Here is a 26,815-nt window from a genome sequence, read left to right as displayed (position 1 = left end):
TATTCCACTTAGCATAATGTTCTCCAATTCCATCCATATCATCACAAATGATGGAACTTCTTCCTTTTATAAGGCTGACTAGTATTCCATTATATATATGTATGCCATATTTTCTTTTTCTTTCCTTTTTTTTTTTTTTTTGAGATAGGGTCTCACTTTTTTTTTTCCACTGCAGTGGCATGATCTCAGTTCACTGCAACCTCCACCTCCCGGGCTCAAGTCATCCTCCCACCTCAGCTCCCCAAGTAGCTAGGACCACAGGCATGCACCACCACACGCAGCTAAGTTTTTTGCATTTTTTGTAGAGACGGGGTTGTGCCATGTCGCCCAGGCTGGTCTCAAACTCCTGAGCTCAAGCAATCTGCCCAAAGTGCTAGGATTATAGGCGTGAGCCCCTGCACCTGGCCTGCCACATTTTCTTTATTCATTCAGTCATCCACTGATGGACCCTTAGGTTGATTCCGTATCTTGGCTATTGTGACTAGTGCTACAATGAACATGGGCATACAGACTTCTCTTCAACACGCTGATTTCAAATTTTGTGGGTAACTACCCAGAAGTGGGATTGCTGGATTATATGGTAATTTTATTTTTAGTTTTTTGAGAAACCTCCATGCAATTTTCCATAATGGCTGTATTAATTTATACTCCCACAAGCAGTGTACAAGAGTTCCCTTCCTCCACATTCTCATTAACATTTGTTATCTTTTGTCTCTCTAATAATAGCCATGCTGACAGGTGAGAGGTGATATCTCATTGTGGTTTTAATCTGCATCTCCCTCATGAGCTCTGTTTTTGCTTTTTGTGTTTTAAATAGAGATGGGGTCTCACTGTGTTGCCCCAGCTGGTCTTGAACTCCTGGACTTAAGGGCTCTTCCTACTTTAGCCTCCCAAAATGCTGGGATTACAGGCATGAGCCACTGAGCCTGGCCAGCTCTGTTTTTAGGCTCAACATATTCCTAGCATTTGTGGGAATATAGTGCCTGGAAGATAGCAGCTGCTTAATAAATATTTGGTTAATGAATGAATGAAGCAATGTAGAACACACTAGGAGAGGTGACATATGGGAAAGTGTTATATATACAGAATGAATAAAAACTAAACCAGAGTTAATCCGTAACATCAGAATTTTCCTTTAAGAGAAATTGCTCATAAAAAATGGTGAGGGAAAAGATGAGATTGCCTCACTCATGATTGCTCACTTGTTTCAGAAGGAAATGAACGTCATGGTCTTGCATCCACTTAACAAATGCTCGTGTACTAGGCTGTGCGCTAAACACAGCCTTCTATCCTCTCCACAGCCCCCAAGGCAGATATATTCTCCAGTTCTTTTTTTTTTTTTTTTTTTTTTTTGAGACGGAGTCTCACTCTGTCACACAGGCTGGAGTGCAGTGGCGTGATCTCGGCTCACTACAACCTCCGTCTCCCAGGTTCAGCGATTCTCCTGCCTCAGCCTCCCGAATAACTGGGATTACAGGCTTATGCCACCGCGTCCAGCTAATTTTTGTATTTTTAGTAAAGACAGGGTTTCACCATGTTGGCCAGGCTGGTCTCGAACTCCTGACCTCAAGTGATCCGCCCGCCTCAGCCTCTCATAGTGCTGGGATTACAGGTGTGAGCCACTGAGCCCGGCCTCTCCAGTTCTTGAGTAAACAGAGGTTCTGAGAAGAAATCTGTCCCCAGGTTACAGAGGTAACTAAGATATGAAGGTGGGATTCCAGCTACTTCACCTCCCATGCATAAAGGCAATTCGTTCTTTTTCCTTGGTTCACATCTTGTTATCTCCATAATCTAATTTGAATATTCTCAGGAAAACCATCTTGGATTTTGACTCCCCCTTTTCCCCTAAAAAGATTGCCATACATTTGTGTTTTCTTTTTCTCCTACAAAGAGGGGTTGTTCTCTGTAGGACAATTCAGATCTCAATTCTGTGGTCGTTGTGACTCTATTTCCAAGGAAACCTTAAGAAATTCCTTCTCAATTGAAGTAGACAGACAGGCCAGAGCTTATGAACCCAGCTTTTTTTTTTTGAACTGAAGCCTCCATTGGAATAGCTGTGGTTCACTGAGTGTATATCACAAGCAGTCACTTCCAGGTCTTATTGAAAATCTTCACAGCAACTCTGTTGTTATTATTACCATCTTTTTTTCTAATGAGGTAAACTTAAAATCAAAGAATGATCCACCAAACCCTCATTCTAGTCCAAGCTTCTTTGTTCAAATCTTGTGAGTCACTCTATCCCAGTAGATTCCCAAAGAGGAGCTTCACGAAACTCTTGCCCTGCCCCTCTACCTTCCTTAAGAACTACTGAATCAGGCCAGGCACAGTGGCTCATGCCTCTAACAGCACTTTGGGAGGACGAGGCAGGTGGATCACCTGAGGCCAGGAGTTCGAGACCAGCCTGACCAACATGGTGAAACCTCATCTCTACTAAAAATACAAAAATTAGCCAGATGTGGTGGCACACGCCTGTAGTCCCAGCTACTTGGGAGGCTGAGCAGAGAATTGCTTGAACCCAGGAGGTGGAGGCTGTAGTGAGCCAAGATTGCACCACTGCACTCCAGCCTGGGCAACAGAGCAAGACTCTCTCTCTCAAAAAAAAAAAAAAACTACTGAATCAGGATCACAGCTTAGGGGCTGGGATCTCTTTATTTAGACATCCAAGAAAATTCTTATGTAGTCAATTTGTATGACATTTAGGAACTGATGCCTTGTTTTCTGAAACAGAGCTCTAGTTGTAGAATCTTCAAGATTCTCTTTTAATAAGCACTGTACATCAAGGACTATTTCAAATTACCTTGACTCCTGAACATGGTCTCTCTTAATCTTTATTATTCTTATAGATAAATGAGGGGCAGGGGGAAGTGGAGGAGTAAGATGAGTAAAGTTCCAAGTAAATTATATTTGTTCTTCCCGAACAAATGAAGAATGAGGGTTATGCAGTCCGAAAAACCAGCAAGCTCTGGCCCAATGTAAGTGTTTGCCTCAGAGTGCAGTCAGTGGAAGGAAGGAAGGAAGGAAGGAAGGAAGGAAGGAAGGAAGGAAGGAAGGAAGGAAGGGAGGGAGGGAGAGAGGAAGGAAGGAAAGAAGGAAGGAAGGAAGGAAAGAAGGAAGGAAGGAAGTAGGTAAAGAGTGAAACTATCACAATGGAAGTTACGTACTTGAACAACAACAAAAAAAGAGGAAGTAGGGAACTTGATGGGAAAGACAAAATGTAGAGGAAAGAGAATAAGGAAGGGAGGAAATAAACAAAAGACAAAAAAGTTATTATGAAGTTCTAATTAGCAGCCCAAATGTAAGCAACTCTTTCTGATTCATTCTAATTAGGCTTGTCTTCTATTTAATTGATTTTGATTTTGTCATTTCTACTATAGTGTGTGTGTGTGTGTGTGTTTTATTTTGTAAAGGTAGGTTTTGCTCTGAATGTCAAGGCAATTTCAGCTCCTGAAAGAGAAGGTAACTATTATTTTCAGCTCTTAAAATTGAAAGAAAGAAAGAAAGAAACAGAAAGAAAAGAAAAACTCTACCCTCTGGGGAATTTGCATACTAGGCAGACTTGGGTGCCCCGCAGTGGGTGGTTCCGGCTGAGAGTTTGTCTATTCTTAGATGTCTGTGCTGAGGCAGAGTGGGACGGAAATTGTTCACTGCTGCTTTAGGACCTTAGAGTCATTTCTTTTAATGGGGTTCGACTGTCAAATCAAATCTCCCAACCTGTGTAAAAGGCTCTTGTAATTACATGTGTCATCTCTTTTCACGACAAAACTCAAAACTGGTTTGTTTCTGAGGTACTGAAATGCAGTCTTTCTCCTGCATTAAGAGGATTGCTTTCTTTTTAGAGGAAGGGCTGGGGGGATTTTTTTTTCCCCACTTTTTTTGTTAACAAAAGCATGTGACAAGTCAACCAATCTTCCTCAAGGTAAAACAGGGGCCTGTTTTTCTTTGAGTAATTATGTGATGTGCCTGACTTTCAGGTGTGTGGCTTTTAAATACAACAAATCAACATTAAAGATTAATTCATTCAATTACAAGGCAAGAATCTTTGTTGCCTATTCAAACATATTTTCTACTTTAATAAATTCATAGCTTAAAAAGCCAAAAGACAGTGAGATCACCAATAATAAGCCTCTAGTGTTTGGAACTCAGTCTGTAAGATCATTCTTTTTTTATCAAAATATATATGTAAGTTTTACAAACTATACATATATATAAAGTGCTCTCTAAATGATTTATATATGTGTATGTGTGTATGTGTGTGTGTGTGTGTGTGTATGTGTGTATATATGTATATTTTTATTTTTAGACAGTCTCATCCCGTTGCCCAGGCTGGAGTGCAGTGGCACGATCTCAGCTCACTGCAGCCTCCACCCCAAGAATCTCAAGTGATTCTCCTGCCTCAGCCTCCACAGTAGCTGGAATTACATGTGTGCACCACCATGGCCAGGTAATTTTTGTATTTTTAGTAGAGACAGGGTTTCGCCATATTGGCCAGGCTGGTCTCGAACTCCTGGCCTCAAGTGATCTGCCCACCTTGGCCTCCCAAAATCGTGGGATACAGTCATGAGCCACCGCGTCTGGGCCAAAATATATTTATTTTTAAGCTTTGGTATAAGTTTCTATACCCAGATATTCGGGGAAGCCTGAAGACTACCAATGTTTTGTTTTTATTATCTGAAACTCTGATTCAGAATTCATGAAATATATGTAAAAATTATATTTAAGATGAGAATTCCCCAAGACAACATTTTTATTGAGACCATTTTAGTCTCTTAAATCCTGGACTATATAAGCAATAAAAATGAAAACAAAACAAAACAAAGCAAGTTCATGTGTTCTCTAGATGATTCTAAATAAGTAGTTATTAACCCATCATTTTTCCATTTAACATTTTAACACATTGACCTCAAGGAGTTGCAATAAAAGGAATGGGTACATTATACAAAGCCATTAAATTATAAATGAATGGTATTAATGACAAATTTTCCCGGACCCAGAGGGAAACTCAGGGAAAATATAAAATTACCTTCAAAGACAACAAAATGAAAAATAAATGTGACATATGGACCTTAGGAAAAAATGGAAATCAAGTGCACATGAGATAAAAAGATAGGGCCAGGCATGGTGACTCATGCCTGTAATCCCAACACTTTGGGAGGCCAAGGTGGGCAGAGCACCTGAGCTTAAAACTTTCAGACCAGCCTGAGCAACATGGCAAAAACCTGTCTCTACCAAAAATATTATACACAAAATTAAACGGGAGTGTTGGCATGCACCTGCAGTCCCAGTTACTCAGGAGGCTGAGTAACTGGAGGATCACTTGAGCCTGGGAGGAGGTTGCAGTGTGCCCAGATTTTGCCACTGCACTCCAACCTGGGTGAAAGAGTTTAAGACTCCGTCTTAAATAAATAAATAAAAATTTAAAAAATAATAAAAAGAGATAAGGAGATAGGTATGAGATTTTTACTTGGTTTATTTATTTCAGTGTGTACAGTTGCACTATTTTTTTTTTTTTTATGATTGTAGTTCTTTTTCAAAGTTATTTCCCTCAGGAATTTCCTTAAATATGTATGTGAATGGAAGCATATAGCTTCAGAATGAATAATGCTTTTAATAAAATGAAGACTGAGGAAACTTGGAGAAATGTACCAAATCCATGATTCCCTGGACTTTGAGATTTTATATACTACTAATAAATTTTGTCCTTAAAAAGATTGAGGCTGGGCATGGTGGCTCAGGCCTGTAATTACAACACTTTGGGAAGGATCACTTGAGCCCAGGAGTTGGAGACCAGTCTGGACAACATAGTGAGACCCCAGTTTCTACAAAAAAAAAAAAAGAAAAAAATTAGCTGGGCCTGGTGGTGCTTGCTTGCAGTCCTAGCCACTCAGAATGCTAAAGCAAGAGGATCGCTTGAGTCCAGGAGTTTGAGGCTGCAGTGAACTATGATTGCACCACTTCACTCTAGCCTGAGTGACAGTGAGACTCTCTAAAAAAAAATTTAAAAACAAACAAACAAAAAGAAACAGTAGAAAGCATATAGAATCATGGTAAGAGATAGCATTTATAAAAAAATCAAAGAAATATAGCTTCATGAAAAACTCCCTACATTGCCCTTTTAATTTTTCTGTGAGGAGATAGCATTGAGAAAATACATGACACTCTGGCCAAATAGCACTCTCTGAGCTAAATATTTAAAATATTAACTACTTAGTAAACCAAATCAGTGTCAGTTACAAATCAAGCAAATTGTGCCTCCTTTTATGAGGATAAATGTAAAAGCTCACCTGATTAATCTCACAACTACTAGTGGTACTGCCATTTGGTACATTTTTAAGATTACCTCCTGAGCATCCAGTTTTCATTATTATGCAAATTAGCTAAAACAAAGCTCAAAATAACTCCAGTTACCTTCCCAAATAGCAGAATAGAAATCAAAAGGATGGAGATTAATCCCATCAATCTTGAGACAAGAAACCGGAAAACACCAAAATAGGAAATTTCATAAATGAGTTTTTTTCATAGATGAAACCTGACTGAAATTTGCTGGATATGTATATGCCTCCTATCTATGAAAGAACACTTAAGATCGGTGTCCTATAGTTAGCTCTGATCATGGACACTAACTAGTATGTGCCTGTTTCAGTGAAGATACTGTGTTTTGTTATACCATGATGTTTCATTCAAGGAAAATTAAAGTCCCAGGATGCTTTACGAAAACAAACTTCCTGTTAGCAATGCAGTAAGTACTCTTGGCTATGCTGGTACCTAATGATTTACCCAACTTAGGTAAAGAAGTTACCCAGCTAAAGTATGTCTAGGTCTTGTCAGCGCAAGTAGTTGACAACCAAGTCCTTACTGTCCACTAGACCTACGTCTTGATTCCAGAGAGAAAGAAGATTCTCCAAGACTGGGGAATGACATTCCGGGAGTGCCAGTACCACCTCTGCCTCCATATTGCCAGGAACAGACTGAAGATGGCCTTCTCTCAGGGTTGAGACCAGGAAGGGCCATCCTGGGATGCATGGCACATGCCAGCTCTTGGGGACCAGAGTCCATTCCCATCATGCAGAGGCGGCATCAGCTACGGAAAAGAATCTTCAAAGTGGAGGGACAAGCCTGGCATCCCTGTACAAGTTCCTCTGGATTCCTCATAGTTTCCTCCTTGCAGTACGCACAAAGGCACCCAGTAAATGAACGTTAGACCCTGGAACACTTCATTCTTCATAGAGGAGAGGGACATGCCTAAGTTAGTGAAGCAAATATGCGGTAAGTTCCCCGATGGTTCTGACTTGCCTGTTCAGCACAGGCTGTGCAGTCCCTTCTCTTCATTTTAAATCATTCATGAGGCAAGAACAATCTAGGTTAATCCAAATTAACATGGCCCAACATTGTTCCCTTCCTGGCTGAGCCAATTACTCCCACACGTACTACATTTTCTGCTGCATATACAACTTCAAACTACAGCTCAAGTTTTTTTCTTCAGTATGGTAAAATTCAATGTCATGAACCATGGCTAGGTTAAAATTCTGATTTAAACATTTTGGTGACTATATTTCTAACACTTTTTAGTTGCTTCAACACCTAATGGAGTTATAAAAAAGAAAAATAAATATATATAGCTCAGATTTTAATTCTCCTACTCTGCAACTCCAAATAAATTCAGAAAAATGTCTCAGTTTCATTTATTCAAAAAATGGCAATTTGTAGTAATAAATGCTAATCTGGGAGGCTGATTTGATTGTTCTAATTACCAAAAAGCTTAGCATTTTTTTTATTAGAAGAAGGGGAAGTGGGGAAGACAGTGAATATATAAAATATTACTTCCACCAAGCATATTTTTCTGCAATAAATGCATGGCATTTAATCAGTAACTATATAAATGTCCTCCATGGTTCACTGAATCTTTTACCACTCCATCACCATCACCGGCCCCCAAGCTATTTTGTATATGCGAGGACACGCGGGTAATTACCTGGACATTCCCCTTCTTTTTCCTTATGTAAAACAGTTGCCTGGTGGTTACTGTGTTTACAGATTTCTTGTATGCTGTGCTTTCAAGCATTAAGAATTCAAATTTATCTCACTATAGAAACAAGAACCCAAAGTGCCAAAAAATGATCATAAATACCAGTTGAACCCAACGGGTATAATACTTACATAATCCTCACTTTCACCACTTTTTCTTTCCCAATGAGGTAAGAGACAGACTATAGGCTACTCCCAAAATACTCAAAGATTTTTTTCCCTTTTTTATTTAACCATGTGTAATGTAACCCGTAAGAATGGAACCAGGTTCGTCTGAATCCATTGTGTCATTAATGTCCCTTTGAGAATCAATTCCATTACACTGGCCTTCACACATTCCACAGGACATTTCCTATGTCGGAGTTTTCTAAACTATGAAATTGTTATTCATTACTCTGTGAGTTTTGGAGAATCAAGACATGGAAGAGACATCCCATCAGTCTGTGCATACCTATGCATCGTGACATTAAATTGTCACCGGGTATGTACCCAAACCATTAAATGGGACCTTGCCTCAGAGATCATAAAGGCTACACCCTTTTGTAAGTAAAGCAAGGAAGGTCTGGGAAGGTTGGAAGTGACTTAAAACCCATCCAAGTCACTAGTGGCAAAATCAGGACCGAAATCCGGTCACCATAAAGGCCGGCTCCATGCTTGCTTCCGCATCACTGCTGTCTCATAGCACAATTCTCAGGTGGCCTTTCCTGGCTCTACCATGAATATGATAAAAATAAAAATAGGGGATGGGATAGAACAGAATAACCATTAGTGGTGCCACAATTTACAAACACAGGTTTCTATAAGATCCTGTCATTCATTTTTTCCCCAGCCTTCAAGATCAAATCTATTTATTGTCTTTTAACGTGTTTTATTCAAAATCTTTCTTCTTCTTAATTAGTTACATTTTCAGAGGGTGCATATGCATAGATGCAGTAAGTTTTCAGTTTAACTTCTTCTGAGATAGTTTACTGACATTGCCCTAGCTATTTTTTTCAACAAATAATGTTGGCATTTTTTTTTTTTTAAATAGAGGTGGGGTCTCACTATCTTACTCAGGCTGGTCCTCAACTCTTGGGCTCAAGCCATCCACCTGCCTCGGCCTCCAAAAGTGCTGGGATTACAGGCGTGATCCACCGTCCCTGGTCTATTTTTTTACTTCTATCCAAATATATTCAGAAAAATGGCCAATACAGTGCTCTGTTCTCTGATAAAGTAGTTATTGAAGGGGACTAGAAAAGTAAAACAAACAGAACAAAAAACCCAATAGTCTTTATTACTTCTTTTTAATTGTTTAACTTTATTACTGTTGCACCATTTATACAATTACATATAATTTCAATGCATCCATTGTACATTTTTTTGTTTTTTTTTTGTTTTTTTTTTCCATTTTCCAATGAGTGGTGTGTTGGTGTCTGTGACACAGAATGGAAGAGAAACTGGAACTGCAATGAACGCAGACTTTTTTTTTTTTTTTTTTTCATTTCCACTGACCAATAAACAGAACTACAGGTGCACCCAACCACGGACATGCATTAACTCGTCATGAGAAATCTAGGTAGGCTAAGTAGGATGAGAGAATGTTTGTCACTCCCAAAAATATCTGGAGAGGAAGAATGGAGGATTGGCATTGAGATCCATGTGGACAAGCTAAGTGGGCTCTGTCTGAAAGCTGGCATTCATCCACAACATTAAAAAAATATCAAAATAAGAAAGGCTGTAAATTAAAAAGAAAACACAGAAAATACTGCTCTCATAAAGATCTGATTGCCTTGGCACAGGCCCTGTGGGCAGAATCAAACGCATCACTCCCAACTCCCATTGCAGAAGAAAAGCTATTCAACTCTCAGCGGTGGAGGAGTGCATGTGGCGGCAGTTTCAGGTACAAACGATGTACTGCACTTTCAGACGCGGATCTTGGAAATCCAGGACTTCTTGGTAAAGTTGACTGAAGGTATATTAGATATTTCCCCACAAAAATACTATTTGGATTCTCCCACCCCCTCCCTCCCTTGATGGGACAACATCCTGTATTTTTCCTTGGGCAATACATATCATTACTTCCAATTTGAAACAAGTTAGTATAGGAGAGAGAGAGAGGAGAGATAGGAGAGGAGAGAGAGAGAGGAGATAGAGAGAGAGATAGAGAGAGAGAGAGAGAGAGAGAGAGGAGATTGTTTTAAGTGGTATTGTTTTTCCTATAGGCTGTCCTTGTCACTCTTTCACGGTTACGGTTTGGTCGGAATTAGCTGCCGGGGCCTCCACCGGCTTGGGCTCTTCTGCAGAGGCTGCGGGGCCCTGGGCCTTGGGTGTGGAACTAGGCGCTTCCGTGGCTGCGGGGGTCTCCTTGGAAGAGGGGGCAGCCTCCGAGCTGCCGGGTTTTGAGTCTGAAGCTGGGGCCCCGTCACTTTTGGTCTCCTGGGCGGCAGGAGCTGCGGGCGCCTCAGTCTTTTTGGGTTCCCCTTCCTCCTTGCTGGGCTCCTCCCCGGCGGCAGGGGCCGCGCTCTCGGCCGGGGCCGCGGCGGCCTCAGCAGCTTTGGGGGCCTCGCCGCCCGCAGCGGGGCCGGGGGCCGCCTGCTCCTGCTCGGGCGCCTTCGGGGGCTCAGCCTTGGCCTCTGCCGCGCCCTCCGTCTTCTCGGGCTCCGCCTTCGGGGCCTCCTCCTTGGCAGCCGCCGCGTCCTTCTCGCCCTCCTTCTCCTCGGCCTTGCCCTCGGCGTCCTGGTCGGGCTTCTCCTTGCCCTCCTTGGCCTCGGCGGGCTCTGCGGCCGCCTGGGGCTCACTCTCCTTCGGGGTCCCCTCCTCTTCCGTCGCCGCGCCCTCGGCCTTCTTGTCTTTCTCCTTGGCTTTCTCGTCGTTCACATTGTAGCCCTTCTTCTTCTTGCTGAGCTTGCCTCCCATCTTGGAGTTCTGGAAGCAAACACAAAACAAAACAAAACGGCGGTTACTAGGCAAGTGTGGGGACCACAAAAAGCTGCATTTTGCAAAGCAAGGGGTTCTGGGCCTGCTGCACTGCACACCCCAAAGGGGTGGCATGGTAAACTATAGTTAGGCACAGTTAAATTCAATTTATTCATGTATTTATTTTTGAGACAGGGTCTCGCTATGTTACCCAGGCTGGAATGCCGTGGTGAGATCTCTTCTCACTGCAGCCTCCACCTCCTGGGCTCAGGGGATCCTCCCGCCTCAGCCTCCCACACAGCTGGGCCCACAGGTGTACCCACCACGCCCAAGTAATCAGTTAAATTATTATATTACACTGTTATTACACAATTAAAAGTTAAAAATTTTAAAAAGAATCAAAAACATTAAGGAGCTCAATTAAGTGAGTTCTGCAATAATTTTAAATGAGTTTTTAAAACAATGTGTCACGAAAAGAAATTAAGGAGCTCAGTTGTGGAGCTTCTAATCATAGCCAGTTGAGGGAATAATAAGCTGAGATCAAAGAATCAGTGATTAGAGGCAAAGTTTGTCAACCCTGGAGAGGAGGAGCGCTATCTGTTTTTCATCTGCAATCCCATGTCTGATGCAAACACCAAGCGTGGAACAGGCATGTGCAGCATGGCAGGGGCAGCCATCTTAGACCCAGGTTAGAGCTAGAGAAAGGCGTTGCAATTTTAAAATGCTTTCTGGAGAAACTGCACAGCTGTAATAAAGCACAAATCACAGATTTCTAGAAAATAATCTCAAACTACAAACTCTCTCTGCTACATATGTGTGTGTGTTATATCAGCAAACACATCTTCAAACACGTAAGGTAAACAGGATTCAGTCTATCTTCTTACCAAGCAGGGGCAGTTATGAAAAAGCCAGTGTCTCTTGCTGGCTGTGTCTGACATAAATTCATTTCAAGGTATTTTCAGCTTAAAAAAAGTAGTTCTATAGTAACATAAAATTGTTGTTCATTATCAATTTCCTGGTTAGAATTCAAACTATACATGCACGTTCAATGGTCATTAACAACTGTCTTAAGGCTGCCGCTTTCATTCTGGCACAAGAAACTCCATTTGTATTTGAATCTTGAAATTCTCTCCTCTGAAAACCAAGCATTAAACCAGATAAATAATAAATTATAAATTTATAAATAATAAATTTCATCCAGAACCATGGCCAGAGCTAAACAGACTCTTGGTGCATTTTTTTTCCTTCAAGTCCATTTTTCTGTCACCACACATCAGTGAAAATCCACTGAAATGTTGCTTTTGCAAAGAAAATGGTTGCTTTTCCTGGATGAAGCGTGGCAGAAATCACATTATACTATCCTCGTTAGTCCCATAAATGAGAAAAGCCCAGGAGAGAGCATCAGCCTTGCCCTGGACCCCAAGGGAGGTTAGAAAGAGCAGGGGGGAACCACCTGGTTTTGCCCAGGTCAGGTCCACTGGCAGAACTGTACACACTCCTTTGCCAGCTTTGCAAATATATACATCCCTTATTTAGAAAAGAAGGATTTGCTGTTTATTACTTCCTTGGAATCAAGATTCATGACAGTGAAATAACCTATATTTATCTTATTAAAAGTCGAGTTTTTGGTGGAAGAAAATGAATTCTTCAGTCAAAATTTTTCTCACCATTCTATATGCTAATTTCTAATCTGGAATGACTTCAGTAGTTGGGGGAAGAGAAAAGCAATAAACTGAAATTTGACTAAAATACTATTCATATTCTCAAGAAAGGTCTTTATGATGTTACCTAAGATTCTCTTACATGTCCTTTTTTTTTAGAAAAGGGGGTGGCAATTGGTCATAACCTGCTTCAGACAGGCTCTATTGGATTTAATTTTTGATTATTTCTCCCTCAAAAGTAGAAACAAACATACATGGCAAAAAATACAATTAAATATACTTTCATCCTATAAGCAATCACAGAGCAGTACATGAAAATATAAAGAAATAAACCGGATCAATATTTTAAATTATAGTTTATAACTCTTCCATTGAATTCTTAACTAGTCAGTATGCACGAATGGCCTATACCAAATATAATTTCAGCTCTGATATTTCAAAATACATTGGGTCCCTTAGGTTGAGCTAAATAAGAAACAGGAAACCTAACAGGTCTGCCTTTAGGATCTTCTCTCAATCCAGTAATAGAAACCCATACACCAACTTAGAAATTACAGACACTAAGATAAAGTGCAAACATAGGGGGTCCAGTAAGTATAACATGGGGTGCTGCTTTCTGACACCCACAGCATGAAATTCTATACAGCAATCCCCAGAGGTTTAAAGTCATGTTGGGTTACAAACCTAAAATCTGAGTTACTAAAACTGGCTTTTCTGACACATAGTTAAGGCCACATTCTATTCTTTGTTTTATGCCCAGCTGCGATTTGTTTCTGGGTCGAAAATGAACACACGTAATCAAGTTATAAGTAAGAAAATATGTCTCAATCCAGTTTGTTTTTCAAACAAAGTTAACAAACGCCCCTGGCATTTTGCTAATTTACCTCTACTGGTTATATTGAGGTATCAGAGGGACGCTCATAGGACCCACCTGAACCCTCGAAAAGCAGGATTGTCTCATTATTTCCCAAGACCATATGCGTGAAGACCTTGCCTACAACATCTATTAACTGTTTCCTAGGTATCAAGCACAATCCTACTCATAAATATATTACATAAAATATGTAATCTCAACAGCACCATGGGGTAGTATGCCATTCACATTCTCCTTTTACCCATAAGGAAATCCTACTAGCTGAGTTCGTGGAGCTGTACTATGAGCAAAGGCCAAGTCCAGCAAAATTCAGTAAGGCAGGAAGGCACCACAGAGGGGATAGAAGGAACTCCACTGAGAAGCCGGCAATGGGGCAAAGCTCTCAGCCCAGGAATGTTATGCGCCTGGGTTACAAGGATGGTGCCACCTGGGGTAGTTCAGAACTCAGGTGTTGAGGGAATAAGGAAGAAATTCAGTATTTTGAGTATCCTCTGCCTCTCAACATTTCATCTTCCTATTTGCCAGAGAAGCTTTTTACCAAGAGAAAGCAATGAGCATACAGTTTAATGATTTCATTCTTTTTCTTTTCTTTCTTTTTTTTTTTTTTTTTCTTGAAATGCAGTCTCAGTCTGTCACCTAGGCTGGAGTGCAGCAGCAGCACAATCTCGGCTCACTGCAACCTCCGCCTCCCAGGTTCAAGCAATTCTCCTGCCCAGCCTCCCGAGTAGCTGAGATTACAGGAGCCTGCCACCATGCCCAGCTAATTTTAGTATTTTTAGCACAGATGAGGTTTCACCATGTTGGCCAGGCTGGTCTTGAACTCCTGACCTCAGGTGATCTGCCCACTTCGGCCTCCCGAAATGCTGGGATTACAGGCGTGAGCCACCATGCCCAGCCGATTTCATTCATTTCTGTTACTTCTAATTTTGAAAGACATCATTTGGTATAGAAAGTTAGAAGTTGGAACTTCTAAGATTAAAATAAAGCAGTTAAAAAAATACAGCAATAGACAATCCATGCTGAAAAGTCACTTCAACTAAAAAAGTCACTAAACCAAAGCTCTACTGAAAAGGCCGAGACTGACTTTGCATTTCTCCACAACTAGGAAATTCACTAGAATTTTGTAGCACAGCAACAAAATTCAGACCAATGCTGAAGGCACTGACCTCAGTTCTATGTGTTTATGTATTAACCAAACACTAAAACTGACCTCTGTTATGACATCTCAGAAAAAAGCTAATTCTGGAGCTGTCCTTTAAAGACCGGGTGTGGTGGCTCACACCTGTAATCCCAGCACTTTGGGAGGCCGAGGTGGGTGGATCACTTGAGGTCAGGAGTTCAAGATCAACCTGGCCAACATGGCAAAACCCCGTCTCTACAAAAATTACAAAAATTAGCCAGGCGTGGTGGTGCACACCTATCATCCCAGCTACTGGGGAGGCTTGAGCCTGGGAGGCAGAGGTTGCAGTGAGCCGAGATCAGCCACTGCACTATGGCCTGGGCAGAGTGAGACCCTGCCTCAAAACAAAACAAAGCAAAACAAAAAACAAAAAGCAAACAAAAAAGCTGTCCTTCAAAGAAAACTCGATGCCACAAGGGCGAAAATGACAGGCTTACCGATTAATATTGGCATAGAAAATAACCATAAACAGTAGTAGAGAGAGGAATTTCACTGAGTTTAATCTGGTAAATATTGGACAAGAATTGAATTTCAAGGAGACTTTGCACATTGGGTCATGGCAGAGTATAAAAATCCCACCTCCACAGCACACCCACCCAGAATCCTTGGGCAAGTTATTTAATCTCATCGTCCTTCCGTTTCCTTTAAAATAAAAAAATTTTTTTAAATGTCAATTTAATGGGAATTTAATGTGAGGCCATGTGAGTACAACATTTTACATTTCCAGGGACTGCAAAAATGTTAGTTCCTTCCCCCATCATTTAGTTTGAAAATTCTTAGATAATTCTTTGCTGGTAAATTCCAACAGAATAGTTAGCACACAGGTTCCACACACACAAGTTCTAGAATCAGGAATCTGAAGCACCACAATGAAAAGAACATTTAACATCTTTTAAAAATGTTTAATGTTATCAGAAAGATGTTTGGTATATGTGTTCCATGCATGCTCCTGCTGGTTCTATTTGAAAAAGAAGTTTTTACAGTTATCTGTTGTCACCATATTGTAAAGGTAAAATCTCTACTTCTTCGCTCTGAATATTTTACTACTTAAGATTCTAAGAGGTTTTCAGTCTTTTTAAATATATTAACAGTCCATTCTGCCAAGAAATCAGTTTCTACACAGAGATAAAAACCAAAGATTAGTTAAATCCATTCCTCCCAATTAGAACGAGTATTGGAGTGATCAGAGAAAGAGAAGAGGGGGCTGTGTGTGGTGGCTCACACCTGTAATCCTAGCACTTTGGGAGGCCGAGGCGGGCAGATCATCTGAGGTCAAGAGTTGAAGACCAGCCTGACCAACATGGAGAAACCCCGTCTCTACTAAAAATACAAAATTAGCCAGATGTGGTGGTGCATGCCTGTAATCCCAGCTACTCAGGAGGCTGAGGCAGGAGAATCGCTTGAACCTGGGAAGTGGAGGTTGCGGTGAGCCGAGATCGCACAATTGCACTCCACCCTGGGCAACAAGAGCAAAACTCTTGTCTCAAAAAATAAAAATAAAGAGAAGAAATGTAATTGCATTTTTTGCTGTCCCCTCACCACCTCTTCATCACTTGGTCCAAGGAAACAAGAGAAAAGTGTTTTGATCACCAAGATGGAAAAGGAATCCCAATTCTTTTACTCATTTAATGCCTCAAATTTCACGTGTAAAGGGTAAAAACCTGGTCTACAGCTTATCTTGGCTAATAAGCTAAACACACCATGTTAATGAGAGAAGCTAACATTGTCAAATGTCATTTTGTTTTGCTACTTCCTGCAGAAGAATACTGTTTGTTTATCATATGTCAAATAGCTTAATAGAGATACTAACTTACATCTTTAAAATCCCCCACAACTATCTTGTGACTAGTTTTATTCCCTTCCACCTTATAAAACCAAGCCTCCATCCAATTAATCCCACCTGGCTAGAAACAGCTATTCTGGAAGAAATGTGATAAAGTTCTGCTTTTCGGTGAAGAGAGAAGAGAGTGTGCCATTCGAGCACTGTGAGTTGATCAGAGCAACCTGGGCTGGAAAGCAGGCAAATCAGAGGGAGGCCTGAAAAGGTCAGAGGGAGGGTTGGAAGTGATTATTCATCACACCAGCCTGGTCCTTTTTTGCCTACACCTGCCAGGAAACTCAAAAAGTGTTTGCATCCGTGGAATACATACCCATCACCTTCTGAGTCTCACTTCCTACAACTGATGTTAGCTTAGACTACACACTCAGTCCTGACACAAATCTTTCTTTCGTTTATTGGCAGCAAATCATGTTCCCTAATAAATAAACGTGTACATTTATGAACGTTCATGAAACTTTTAAAGACAAGTTTCTCTAACTTCTTCATGCCTAGGAAGGCCATAAAAGAGCAACTTCATAGCTAGGTCAGCAAGGTAAGGTGAAGTTTTTTTGTTGTTGTTTGTTCGTTTGTTTTTGTCCTCAGAGACAACTACACTTTAGTGTCTTCAGAGGATCTGGTTAAAAAATCAATAAATAAAAATAAAGAATGAACATAGGCCTAAAAAATAGGTTTTAATTCTTCCTCCAAAGCAAATTAAAACAATTCTGTTGAGTCTTAGAGCTAACAAGTATTTCTTATTTTACAGAAATTTCTATTTATAGGAAAAATATGTGGTCCTATGCATTGCTATAATAGCAAACCCCCCAAAAAGAAAAACCAGTAAACTCCTTCTTACTATTGAGAGCTTAAATTTAATATGAAAATTTCTTTGGGAGAGTAAAGGTGAGAAATAATTTGAAATCTGATGTTATAATGAAGACACTCTGTAATAGAGACAATCTCCTCTACCGAGTTTTCCAATTGCTTGTTCCTTTTTCTCCAGGAAGCCTGTCAGGGAACACAGAAGATATTCCTTATCCCTTCAGATCATCTGCTGTGTTTATTTTGTACACAGAATCCACAGGACACACTGGGTCCAGATCCCCTCTGTACACGCTATTTTAATAGCTAAGAATTTCACTAAAAAACCACAATTCTTACAAACTATAATAGGATCCCCTCTGTACACACTTAATAGCAAATAATTTCACTAAACAACCATGATTTGGCTGCTGACATGACCAACTCATCCAGAACTTTCCTAATACGCACTTACATTTTTTCTTACCTTACACCACTCCATTAGCACAGCCTACTGTATTAAAATTCAGTCTTTCAGTTTGAGAAAATAAAGGTGGAAGAGTAGATAGCAAAATGCCGTATAAGAAAAAAATAAATTATGAAATATTTTATTTGTTTGACTTGTGTCAAAAACAAGCCACCTAGCACTCAGTATGAAGTTTGCTAAAAACGATAGGTGTGCTAGGGGTTGGTCTCCACTGTCAACAAAGTGCTATGAGACTCAGTGGTTACCTCCCACTCTGGATCTCAAATTTCCTAATCAGTAAAACAACGATACTTAAAGTGTATTCTCTTTCTAGGGGGAAAAATAATTTTATGAATGCTTCTGGCACTAAATAAAATGCAATGCAAGATAAAGAAACAAGTGGTATTATCAACAGAGTTCAATACATCTACTAATCACTGTCATAAAAATATATCATCTTACACCCTGAAGATTAAATTGACAACCAGCTGCTATTACTATGATTGGATGTCTTCATACGTCATTTCAACGTGAAGCTTGCTGAAAATTAGAAATAAAAAAAATTTTAAAAAGCAAAAAAAAAAAAAAAAAAAAAAAAGGGCTGGGAGCGGTGGCTCACGCCTGTAATCCCAGCACTTTGGGAAGCTGAGGCAGGAGGATCACAAGGTTGAGAGTTCAAGACAAGCGTGGCCAACATGGTGAAACCTCGTCTCTACTAAAAATACAAAAATTAGCCAGGTGCAGTGGCGTGCGTCTATAGTCCCAGCTATTTGGGAGGCTGAAGCAGGAAAATCGCTTGAACCCGGGAGGCGGAGGTTGCAGCGGGATGAGATCGTGCCACCGCACTCCAGCCTGGGGCCTGGTGACAGAGCAAGACTTCGTCTCAAAAAAAAAAAGCAAAAAAAAATACAAACAAAAATTGTAAAATGACATCCAAATATTTATTAAAGCACAGAATGTTTTTTAACATTTTCAATTATATTTAGAAAATCTTCTCAGAATAATGTGTAAACTCTGTAAGGAATGAGTCAGGATGGAATGGCTCACTGAAGACATCTCAAATAGCGTCATAACTGTCAGAAAAGTCAGGTTTCATCAGCTTCACTCACGCAGAACTAGCTCACAGTGCCCTGGCTGTGGAAGACACTCGGTTGTTTCCCCTTTACCTACTTTTGATGGGTCATCTACCAATCACTGGTGGTCCTGCCTTGCAAGACCCAATCTCTTTGAGCAAGCGTGCTTCCTAAAAACAATCAAACCATCTTTTCCTTTTATGCGATGCTAAGTAGTATCAGCCTACAGATACTTTAAATTATCCTTTCAAATATAGTTTAAATCAATCTCACAAGGGCTAATCACAATTCTCGAAAACTAATGTGATATTCAGTTTAGTGTTATGTAGAAACGTTGAGAAAAATAAAGTGGGAAAAGTTCTCAGCCCCAAATTTCCAGCGCAATACAACCACTTAACAAAACGAAACCAGGGTGTATCACCATTTTTACAGAGCTATCCACAGGCAACATTTTGAAAGATTATGTTTGGAGTTCCTACATTGAGAAAGAGTTCCAGGTCAGATTTTTTTTTTTTTTTTTTTTTTTTTGAGACAGGATCTTGCTGCTCTGTCGCTCAGGCTGGAGCGCAGTGGCGCGATCTCGGCTCACTGCAACTTGCGCCTCTCGGTTCAAGTGATTCTCGTGCCTCAGCCTCCTGAGTAGCTGGGATTACCTGTGCACCACCACACCTGGCTAATTTTTGTATTTTTAGTATTTTAGTAGAGACGGGGTTTCACCATGTTGGCCAAGCTAGTCTCAAACTCCTGACCTCAGGTGATTCGCTTGCCTCAGACACCTAAAGTGCTGGGATTACAGGCGTGAGCCACCATGCCCCACCCCAGATATAGCTTTTAATGCCAACTTTAGGAATATCAACAAGGAGGCCATGGTGAATTCAAACACAATAAGGCAAAGATTCATTACTCTTAGATGAACAAGAGCAAGAGTGAGAATGAAATAAGGAGGGAGGGAGACAGAACAGAGCAAGCAAGGGAGGGAGAGGTGGCGAAGGAACAGAAAAAATGCCTCTCATTTTGAATAAATTCTCTTTTCATCATCCTTAAAACCGCTTTTTCTGAAAATCTACTCCTCCAGACATAATCTTTTTCCTGCATTTTTAACTTATGGAAATTGAAGCCACATATACTGTTCCTTAAACTTCTATAGCAGGACACTGTCAGAGACACACCAGGGTGAAAATATCCCGCACTGTAGGATTTAAATCATACCTCCATTCTGCCCCAAAGTGACAGCAATGAATCGGGAAGCCCAACGGGTTAGTGTCCCTTGCTCTGTGGTGCTACCAGAGGAACCCAATTTGACCAACAACTGCTGTGGCGACTGGAGTTACTGAGCTGACCTGTTCTTCAGCAGGACTTATTATGTCCTTAATAGAAGACACTTCTGCCCCTTGCAGTGACTAAGGGTTCTCAAATCCCTTTGCTGGTACCAAGTGAAAACGCATGGGTCAGCCCTGCTGCCTATGCATTCTTTGGGTTTGGGTCAAGACTCCTGCAGTATTTAAAGACACAACCCTATATATCAGAACGGTATCTAATTAACATTTGAGCTGGAAGTTGTTCTAATAGCTTTGCAATGAAATGTGAGGTTTCTGAGAACTATCATTTATTACTTCCTTTCTTTAGTCCTTTAAATAAAACACTTACTAAACAGGTTGTTTGGATATAGGAGAGCAAGAAAGGGAGAAATGTTGGCTCAAAAGGAGTATCAAGTAGGAAAAACAATAGTGTTATCATTACCACCATTAAGAGGATTTCAGTGCTTTGTGGCAGGTCTAAGTGATGACATGCCATCAGGTTTCTAAAAGATGCCCTCCAGAGACCAGGGTCATCCAAATAGCTCTCAAGAGCCCTTCTGCATTTTTGGCGGCAAGCAAAATTATGGGTAATGAAATGCTAATGTTTATCTCAGCCTATACACTTAATTTTAGAAGGTTTGATATGCAGAGGCTCACCATTTGTGGACTGTTGAACCTTCATTTCAGTAGCACTTTGTTGGTTACATCCATTATTTAATGTTATTCAAGTCTTCGCATGATATGGTTTTTGGATGAAAAATGGCAAGCCCCCCAATATACCATTGCCCTTCTTCAGAAAATGCAACCTTGCACAATGCACAATTTCCAGGAGTTATCCACCCACAAGCCAAGGGGGTTACATGCACTGGGTCCTTCCCATAATTACCACATGTGCTCCATGATATCTCCAATTAGATTTTTCATTAACACATTTTTACATTTACGTTGCTCTGTCAATTAACAATACCATGGTTCTGTAATGTAATAAGAATCACTGGCATACATTAACTGCCATATAAAATAAGAAAATGATATCAAATTTCTCCATATGATTTGAAAGTTACTATGTTCACTACTTTACATGCCATTCCTATTTATATCTTCTTTCCCTGCATTATTATAATATCTAAGCACTTCCTATATAGGGCAGTTTGAATCATACAAAGGCCCTATCCACTATAAAGTTTCTACTTTGAAAATGCAAATTTGGATTTATTAACCATTTCATCTAGAACCAGCAGAATAAAGTTATTAAGGATGAGATCAGACAGATGACAATGGAGAAGATGGCTCCAAGTCTATAGCAAAACCCAACATAAATATGCAACAATGTGTGTCAGAGACTGGAGTGTTATTTCTGGTTTGATTGCAGCTTCATCATTGCAATCAAGACAAGAAGTCATCTCCTTTTCATTCTGTTTCCATCTTATAATCAGAAAAAAATATATCTGCTTACAAAGATGCAGGGAATGAATCAAAGTTTCAAGACAAAGTTCAATGTGTGGCTGCAGCACATTAACTGTGTACCCTTGGACAAGCAACTATCATCTACTAATTCAGAGCTGCAAAGGTTAACAAGAATTATACACCAGCCAATCCACTAACAATTTTTTTTAAGTAACACAAAGTTACAACTGAGTTGCATCTACAAGCAAATCCATCACCAACAAGTTGGGTTTATAATTACACAAGTGGAAAGAATCCAAGATATTGGTCAAACCTACCTGAAGCAAATGTTGGAATAAGAGGGAAAAAATTCTTTTTTATATAAAGAAAAGAATTTACAAACAATAAAAAAGCACAACACATACAAAGTATTTTCAATACTGTCAGAAGAAAGAAATCTAAAATATTTATGTCCAGCAATTTCTATTTTCAACAAGTGACTGGCCCTTTTCTTTTAAAGGTCAAAATTTTTATTCTAAAAGAGGAAAATGAAATAAAGGTAATGCAGCCCATGTGTATTTTTAGTATTCCAACCAGTATGTGCTCTGTCGCAGTGACTTGTCAAGTCTTCAGTGCCTGGTGGCAATTTCCATTGTTGAAATTATTGTTGTCGGTGTCTGATTCAGCCAAGGCTCATATTTAGCAATTCTAATAACATCCCCATCATTTAGAGGATGCAGATGTCCTCTGGGGAGAGGAAACTGTCCTAAGAGGTGCCAACCCATGTCTAAGTTTCTAGGTAAACCTTTGAAATATCATGAGTAAAAATTTAGAGAAAACATTCGAGACAATTTATTACCTTGTCACAATAAAAATGTTCCTCACTGTAAAAAAGTATGATAAAGATATGCAACAAACTTGAGGGAACAAAGTACACATACACAGATTAGCACACACTCACATTTCTACAACCAAATTTTCCCAAAGAGGTGATCCAGATGAGTTGGATCTACAAAGTCAGAAAGTCCCTAATACAAAAGAAGATTAATCACAAGAAACGCCTCCATTATTCTTCATGAAGCCCAGTCTAGTCCTACAGATGCACTGGCACAGGGTCTTTGGGGATCTCTCATCAAAAATCCAAAATGCATAAATATCTGAGGTGAGCAATGTTCATTACCTTAATTTTATCTTACCACATTTTATTCAAAAATTGTAATACCAGCTGGGGTGCAGTGGCTCATGCCTGTAATCCCAGGACTTTGGGAGGCCGAAGCAAGAGGATCACTTGAGCCCAGGAGTTTGAGACCAGCCTGGGCAAAATAGTGAGACCCTGTCTCTATTAGAAAAGGAAAGAAAAGAAATGTTAAAAAAAAAATGTAATACTACTTTGTACCCCATAAAGATACACAATGAGACTCTGTCACAATATAATTTGTAAAAGTCAACATCCAGAGTGATCTCAAGAACTTCTGATGTTCAGAATTAGTCTAGAAAAATAGATTTGATTAGGGCTGGGTGCAGTGGCTCACGCCTGTAATCCCAGCACTTTGAGAGGCCAAGGCGGGCGGATCATGAGGTCAGGAGATCGAGACCATCCTGGCTAATACGGTGAAACCCCATCTCTACTAAAAAATATAAAAAATTAGCCGGGCGTGGTGGCGGGTGCCTGTAGTCTCAGTTACTCGGGAGGCTGAGGCAGGAGAATGGCATGAACCAGGGAGGCGGAGCTTGCAGTGAGCCGAGATCGTGCCACTGCACTCCAGCCTGGGCGCCAGAGCAAGACTCCTTCTCAAAAAAAAAAAAAAGAAGATTTGATCTTAGTGAGGAAATATCTTTAGGTGTAAGACGTGACAGGGAACATAAGTGAGTGAAGAGCCTAGTCTAGCAAGAGGGAGAAGACATATGAAGACAATTAAAATATAAATGAGAGTAAGTCAAACGTTATCAAGAGAAGGAAAAGCAATAGTTTCACCAGAAGAGATGACGATTAGTTGAGATCAGGATCAGAAAGATTTATAGAGAAGGTAGAGTCTGAGACAGTAGAAATATAAAAAATACTTATTCATATACACTCAGCATAAGACTGTTTTGATACTTATCTTTACACATATCAACTCATTAGCTATCTCATCAGTTCTACGAGGGAGGAATTATTACTATCCCCACTTTAGCATGAGGAAACAAAGACACATAGGAGATAAATAACTTGCCCAAGATCAACCAACCAGTTATTTGTGGAGGTGTGAGGTGAATGCAGGCACTCTGGCTCACTCAACCAGGTTAACGTTAAGGTTTCTTAGCCATCATGATAAGTTGCCCTGAAGAACAAATAAGCTTTCTACAGATGAGGATGGGTAAATGCAAAGTGTTTATGTCAAAGGGAACAAAGAGGAAATGTCCAGTTGAGATTATTAGAAAACCCTATTGATATTTAAGAGGAAGGAGAGGACTCTCAGATACTTGGAGTGAGAAAAGATGGACTCTAAATCTATAAAGGTTGCCTAATAGGGAAAATTACTTAGATGACAGAAAGCAGAAAAACAGCTCTTGTAGGAGTTAGAAAGGAAAAGATGATGTCTCAAAAAATCAAAAGAGAAAATTTTACAAAGCAGCTTGGAGGAGGCATATGCTGCTACAAAAAGGTTACAAAAGATAAGAAGAGATGGCGCAAATTGATCCGGTGATGGGCTGTCAACAACGGACCCTAGAGTCACTTCGATAAAGGAGTGAAGACACCTGCCTCTTTGAAAGGGCTCACAGAGCACATGAGGCGCCAGAAGAGAAAGCCACAATGGTCAATACCAGAGAGTGTTGGTAACGGCAGAAACGTGCAATTTTGGCAAGACTTTTATTTGTTTACAAGGATTTGCAAGAACTGAAAATATCTATGGGAAGATAGGATGAGACAAAGGATAAAAATCAAAACTAAAGTGGAAAGTTGAGGGAGGAATCTTGACAGCGCAAAGTTCTGGGAGATTCAGAAAGTTAAGTCCAGATGTTTGCTGAAGTGGAACACTTTGTTATGCAGACGGTGGGGGGGAGAGAAGCCAATGAGATAAATTCCAAATCTGATGGTTATTCCAACTCAACATGCTCTCTTTTACATGAATATGGTTAAATCTGAATTATTCCAGAGTAATGGCTCCACAAGATCTCCACATAGTAAACGTTAGATCATGTCTCTTTGAAATAGTCCTTTACCTTACAGTATTTCATTCTGCAGTCATTTACCTTCATAGTACTCTCGTATTACAACACTTAGGATTTCTTAAGTACTGGGAAAGGGACAGACATTTCAACAACTAAAATGCTGAAGAACTGCCACAGTGACCACTAAACCTGGAGAGGTCTTATTGTGTGAAACAACCGGTATGCAAAAGTAAAGCAAACAGGCTTGCTACATTATAAATGGTTTTAGGAGCTTCTGAGATAAGGAAATGCACAGTCAGCATCCACATGTGTATTCCCTACATAAATGTAAAAAAACGAACCTTAATTCTTAAGAACTTCTTATTGTGTCCTTACTGTGCAATCTGGTCTTGGTCTTTAGATAAACCATCCATCTTTGGTCATTTATCTAAATCATCATTGCCTAAGCCTTTTACATTTTATTTATAAAATAGATTTTTAAAAAATTTTTAGAGATGGGAGTCTCACTATATTTCCCAGGCTAGTCTTTAACTCCTGAGCTCAAGCAATCAATCCTCCCACCCTGGTCTCCCAAAGTGCTGGGATTACAGGTGTTAGCCACCACCAGGCCAGGCCTGCTTAACCCTTTTATATTGTTGGATTGCGTTCAAAGTTTTAGCAGTAAAATAGGCTTGCCTGACTTCACTTGAATCTTGACCTAGGGCGTTTCTTCAATATTTATTCAACATCAATCTGAGGCTTCAGAACAAAGATTTTGCTTTGTGGTTGTTCGTGCACAATGGGTACTAGATAAACATCACAGACTCACTACAGACGGGAACATCTAATTTGCAAATTATGAACTGTAAGATGGAAGAGTCCCTGACTAGAAGTTGGGTTATGTAACTTACCTTTCACCAGCAGTAGAAAAAAATCAATAAACTAAATTGTAACTGAAATTTCCGTTGCATTAAATGAAATGCGGTCAAGTTCCAGGCGCCATCCATGATCACAAACTCTCTGCCACCGGGACTCAGCACATAATTAAAGACCAGAATGCAGAAATCACTACAATGATATTGTCAAGATTTTTTTTTCTTTTGTTACTATGTGCATATTGTAGAGACCAATTTTTAAAGGTGAATCTCCCAATTGATTCTACAAGATTTAACCATAAAACCCTGACTTGATAATGCTTCTATAAAGGTGGCAGATAATAGTTAAGCTTCTCCTTGAATGTAAAGGTTGACTGTATAGACACTAATGCAGAAGGTTTTTTCTTCTTTTTTAATACATCCTGCCACATGTAGCAAACACTATCAGGAAACATGCATTATTCATTCTCGTCAATAGTCTAATATGCTTTTTAGAGTCTGCTGTGTGTTCACATTGTTATTTATTTGCACTTAACGGGTGGTCCTTTCAAAAGCCCCAGTTATTGCAGCCTAACATATGATTTTACATGAATCACCTGCTCTTTTGGTCAATAAAGGGAGTAAGTGAACCACAACCCGCTCAGGAAATGCAAACTGCAGAGATCATTTCTGTACCATTTCTCTCTTCCATAGACCAGGAAACTAATAGATCATATCACCACAACTAATTTAGAATTCTCCAAACAGAGCTCAAAATAAGGCACAAGGAAAACACTTAGAGCAGCTGAGATATTTCTGCTGCTTCTTAATGGACTAGACAGACCATGATGGGCTTGGAGCCATGACAGGCTCGATCAATGTGGCCACCTGACAAAGACAGGCTGGTGATTAGGGAGAAGAGGGGAAGCCTGCCTACTCCAGAAATAACTGCAATTTATTTCCAGTAGTTCCTGTCTCCAAAAATAAAGGGCTGGTTCACACTTTTCACGACCACCTAAAATTCTTACATATTGACATTTTCATGTATCAATTTTTTTTGGCACCAACAGCAAATGTAGTATTTTCAGTCCTAATGCTATTTCATATTTTAATGATTTTCAGTGAAAACCATCTAAAATCCTTTATGTATGTCCTTGACATACTAAACAAAGAATTTGCTTTTTCCTTTGTCATGTTCAGCACTAACAGGGGTTTGGTAAATGTTTGCCAAATTAATAAAAGAATGTATTCAATCCAAAGATGAATACTATGCTGATATGGTTTGGCTGTGTCCCCACCCAAATCTCATCTTGAATTGTAACTCCCACAATTCCCGTGTGTACTGGGAGGAACC

General features: G+C 40.0%; 1 protein-coding gene across 2 annotated transcripts in view, besides 2 other annotated features; it reads right to left on the bottom strand.

The window, feature by feature from the left end:
- Positions 1–9,299: 9,299 nt before the first annotated feature.
- BASP1 (brain abundant membrane attached signal protein 1) overlaps positions 9,300–26,815 on the bottom strand; it is a 60,012-nt gene continuing 42,496 nt past the window's right edge. For both annotated transcript variants that reach the window (NM_001271606.2, NM_006317.5), the window contains exon 2: positions 9,300–10,926. In NM_001271606.2, the coding sequence (NP_001258535.1) occupies positions 10,234–10,917 (684 nt within the window). In that variant the 5' untranslated portion in view covers positions 10,918–10,926 and the 3' untranslated portion in view covers positions 9,300–10,233. The remainder of the gene's footprint in view (positions 10,927–26,815) is intronic.
- Positions 10,000–10,500: an enhancer, noted in NCBI's record as "H3K27ac hESC enhancer chr5:17275743-17276243 (GRCh37/hg19 assembly coordinates)". NCBI's record gives its function as "activates a minimal SCP1, AML or CMV promoter by ChIP-STARR-seq in primed H9 embryonic stem cells {active_cell/tissue: H9 hESC(primed)}" and the evidence as "EXISTENCE:reporter gene assay evidence [ECO:0000049][PMID:30033119]".
- Positions 18,846–18,975: a silencer, noted in NCBI's record as "silent region_15951". NCBI's record gives its function as "represses an Ori minimal core promoter by ATAC-STARR-seq in GM12878 lymphoblastoid cells {active_cell/tissue: GM12878}" and the evidence as "EXISTENCE:reporter gene assay evidence [ECO:0000049][PMID:35858748]".

Source organism: Homo sapiens, chromosome 5 (genome assembly GCF_000001405.40).
Source record: "Homo sapiens chromosome 5, GRCh38.p14 Primary Assembly".
Classification (NCBI taxonomy): Eukaryota; Metazoa; Chordata; class Mammalia; order Primates; family Hominidae; genus Homo; species Homo sapiens.
This window is presented reverse-complemented; position numbering and strand designations above follow the sequence as displayed.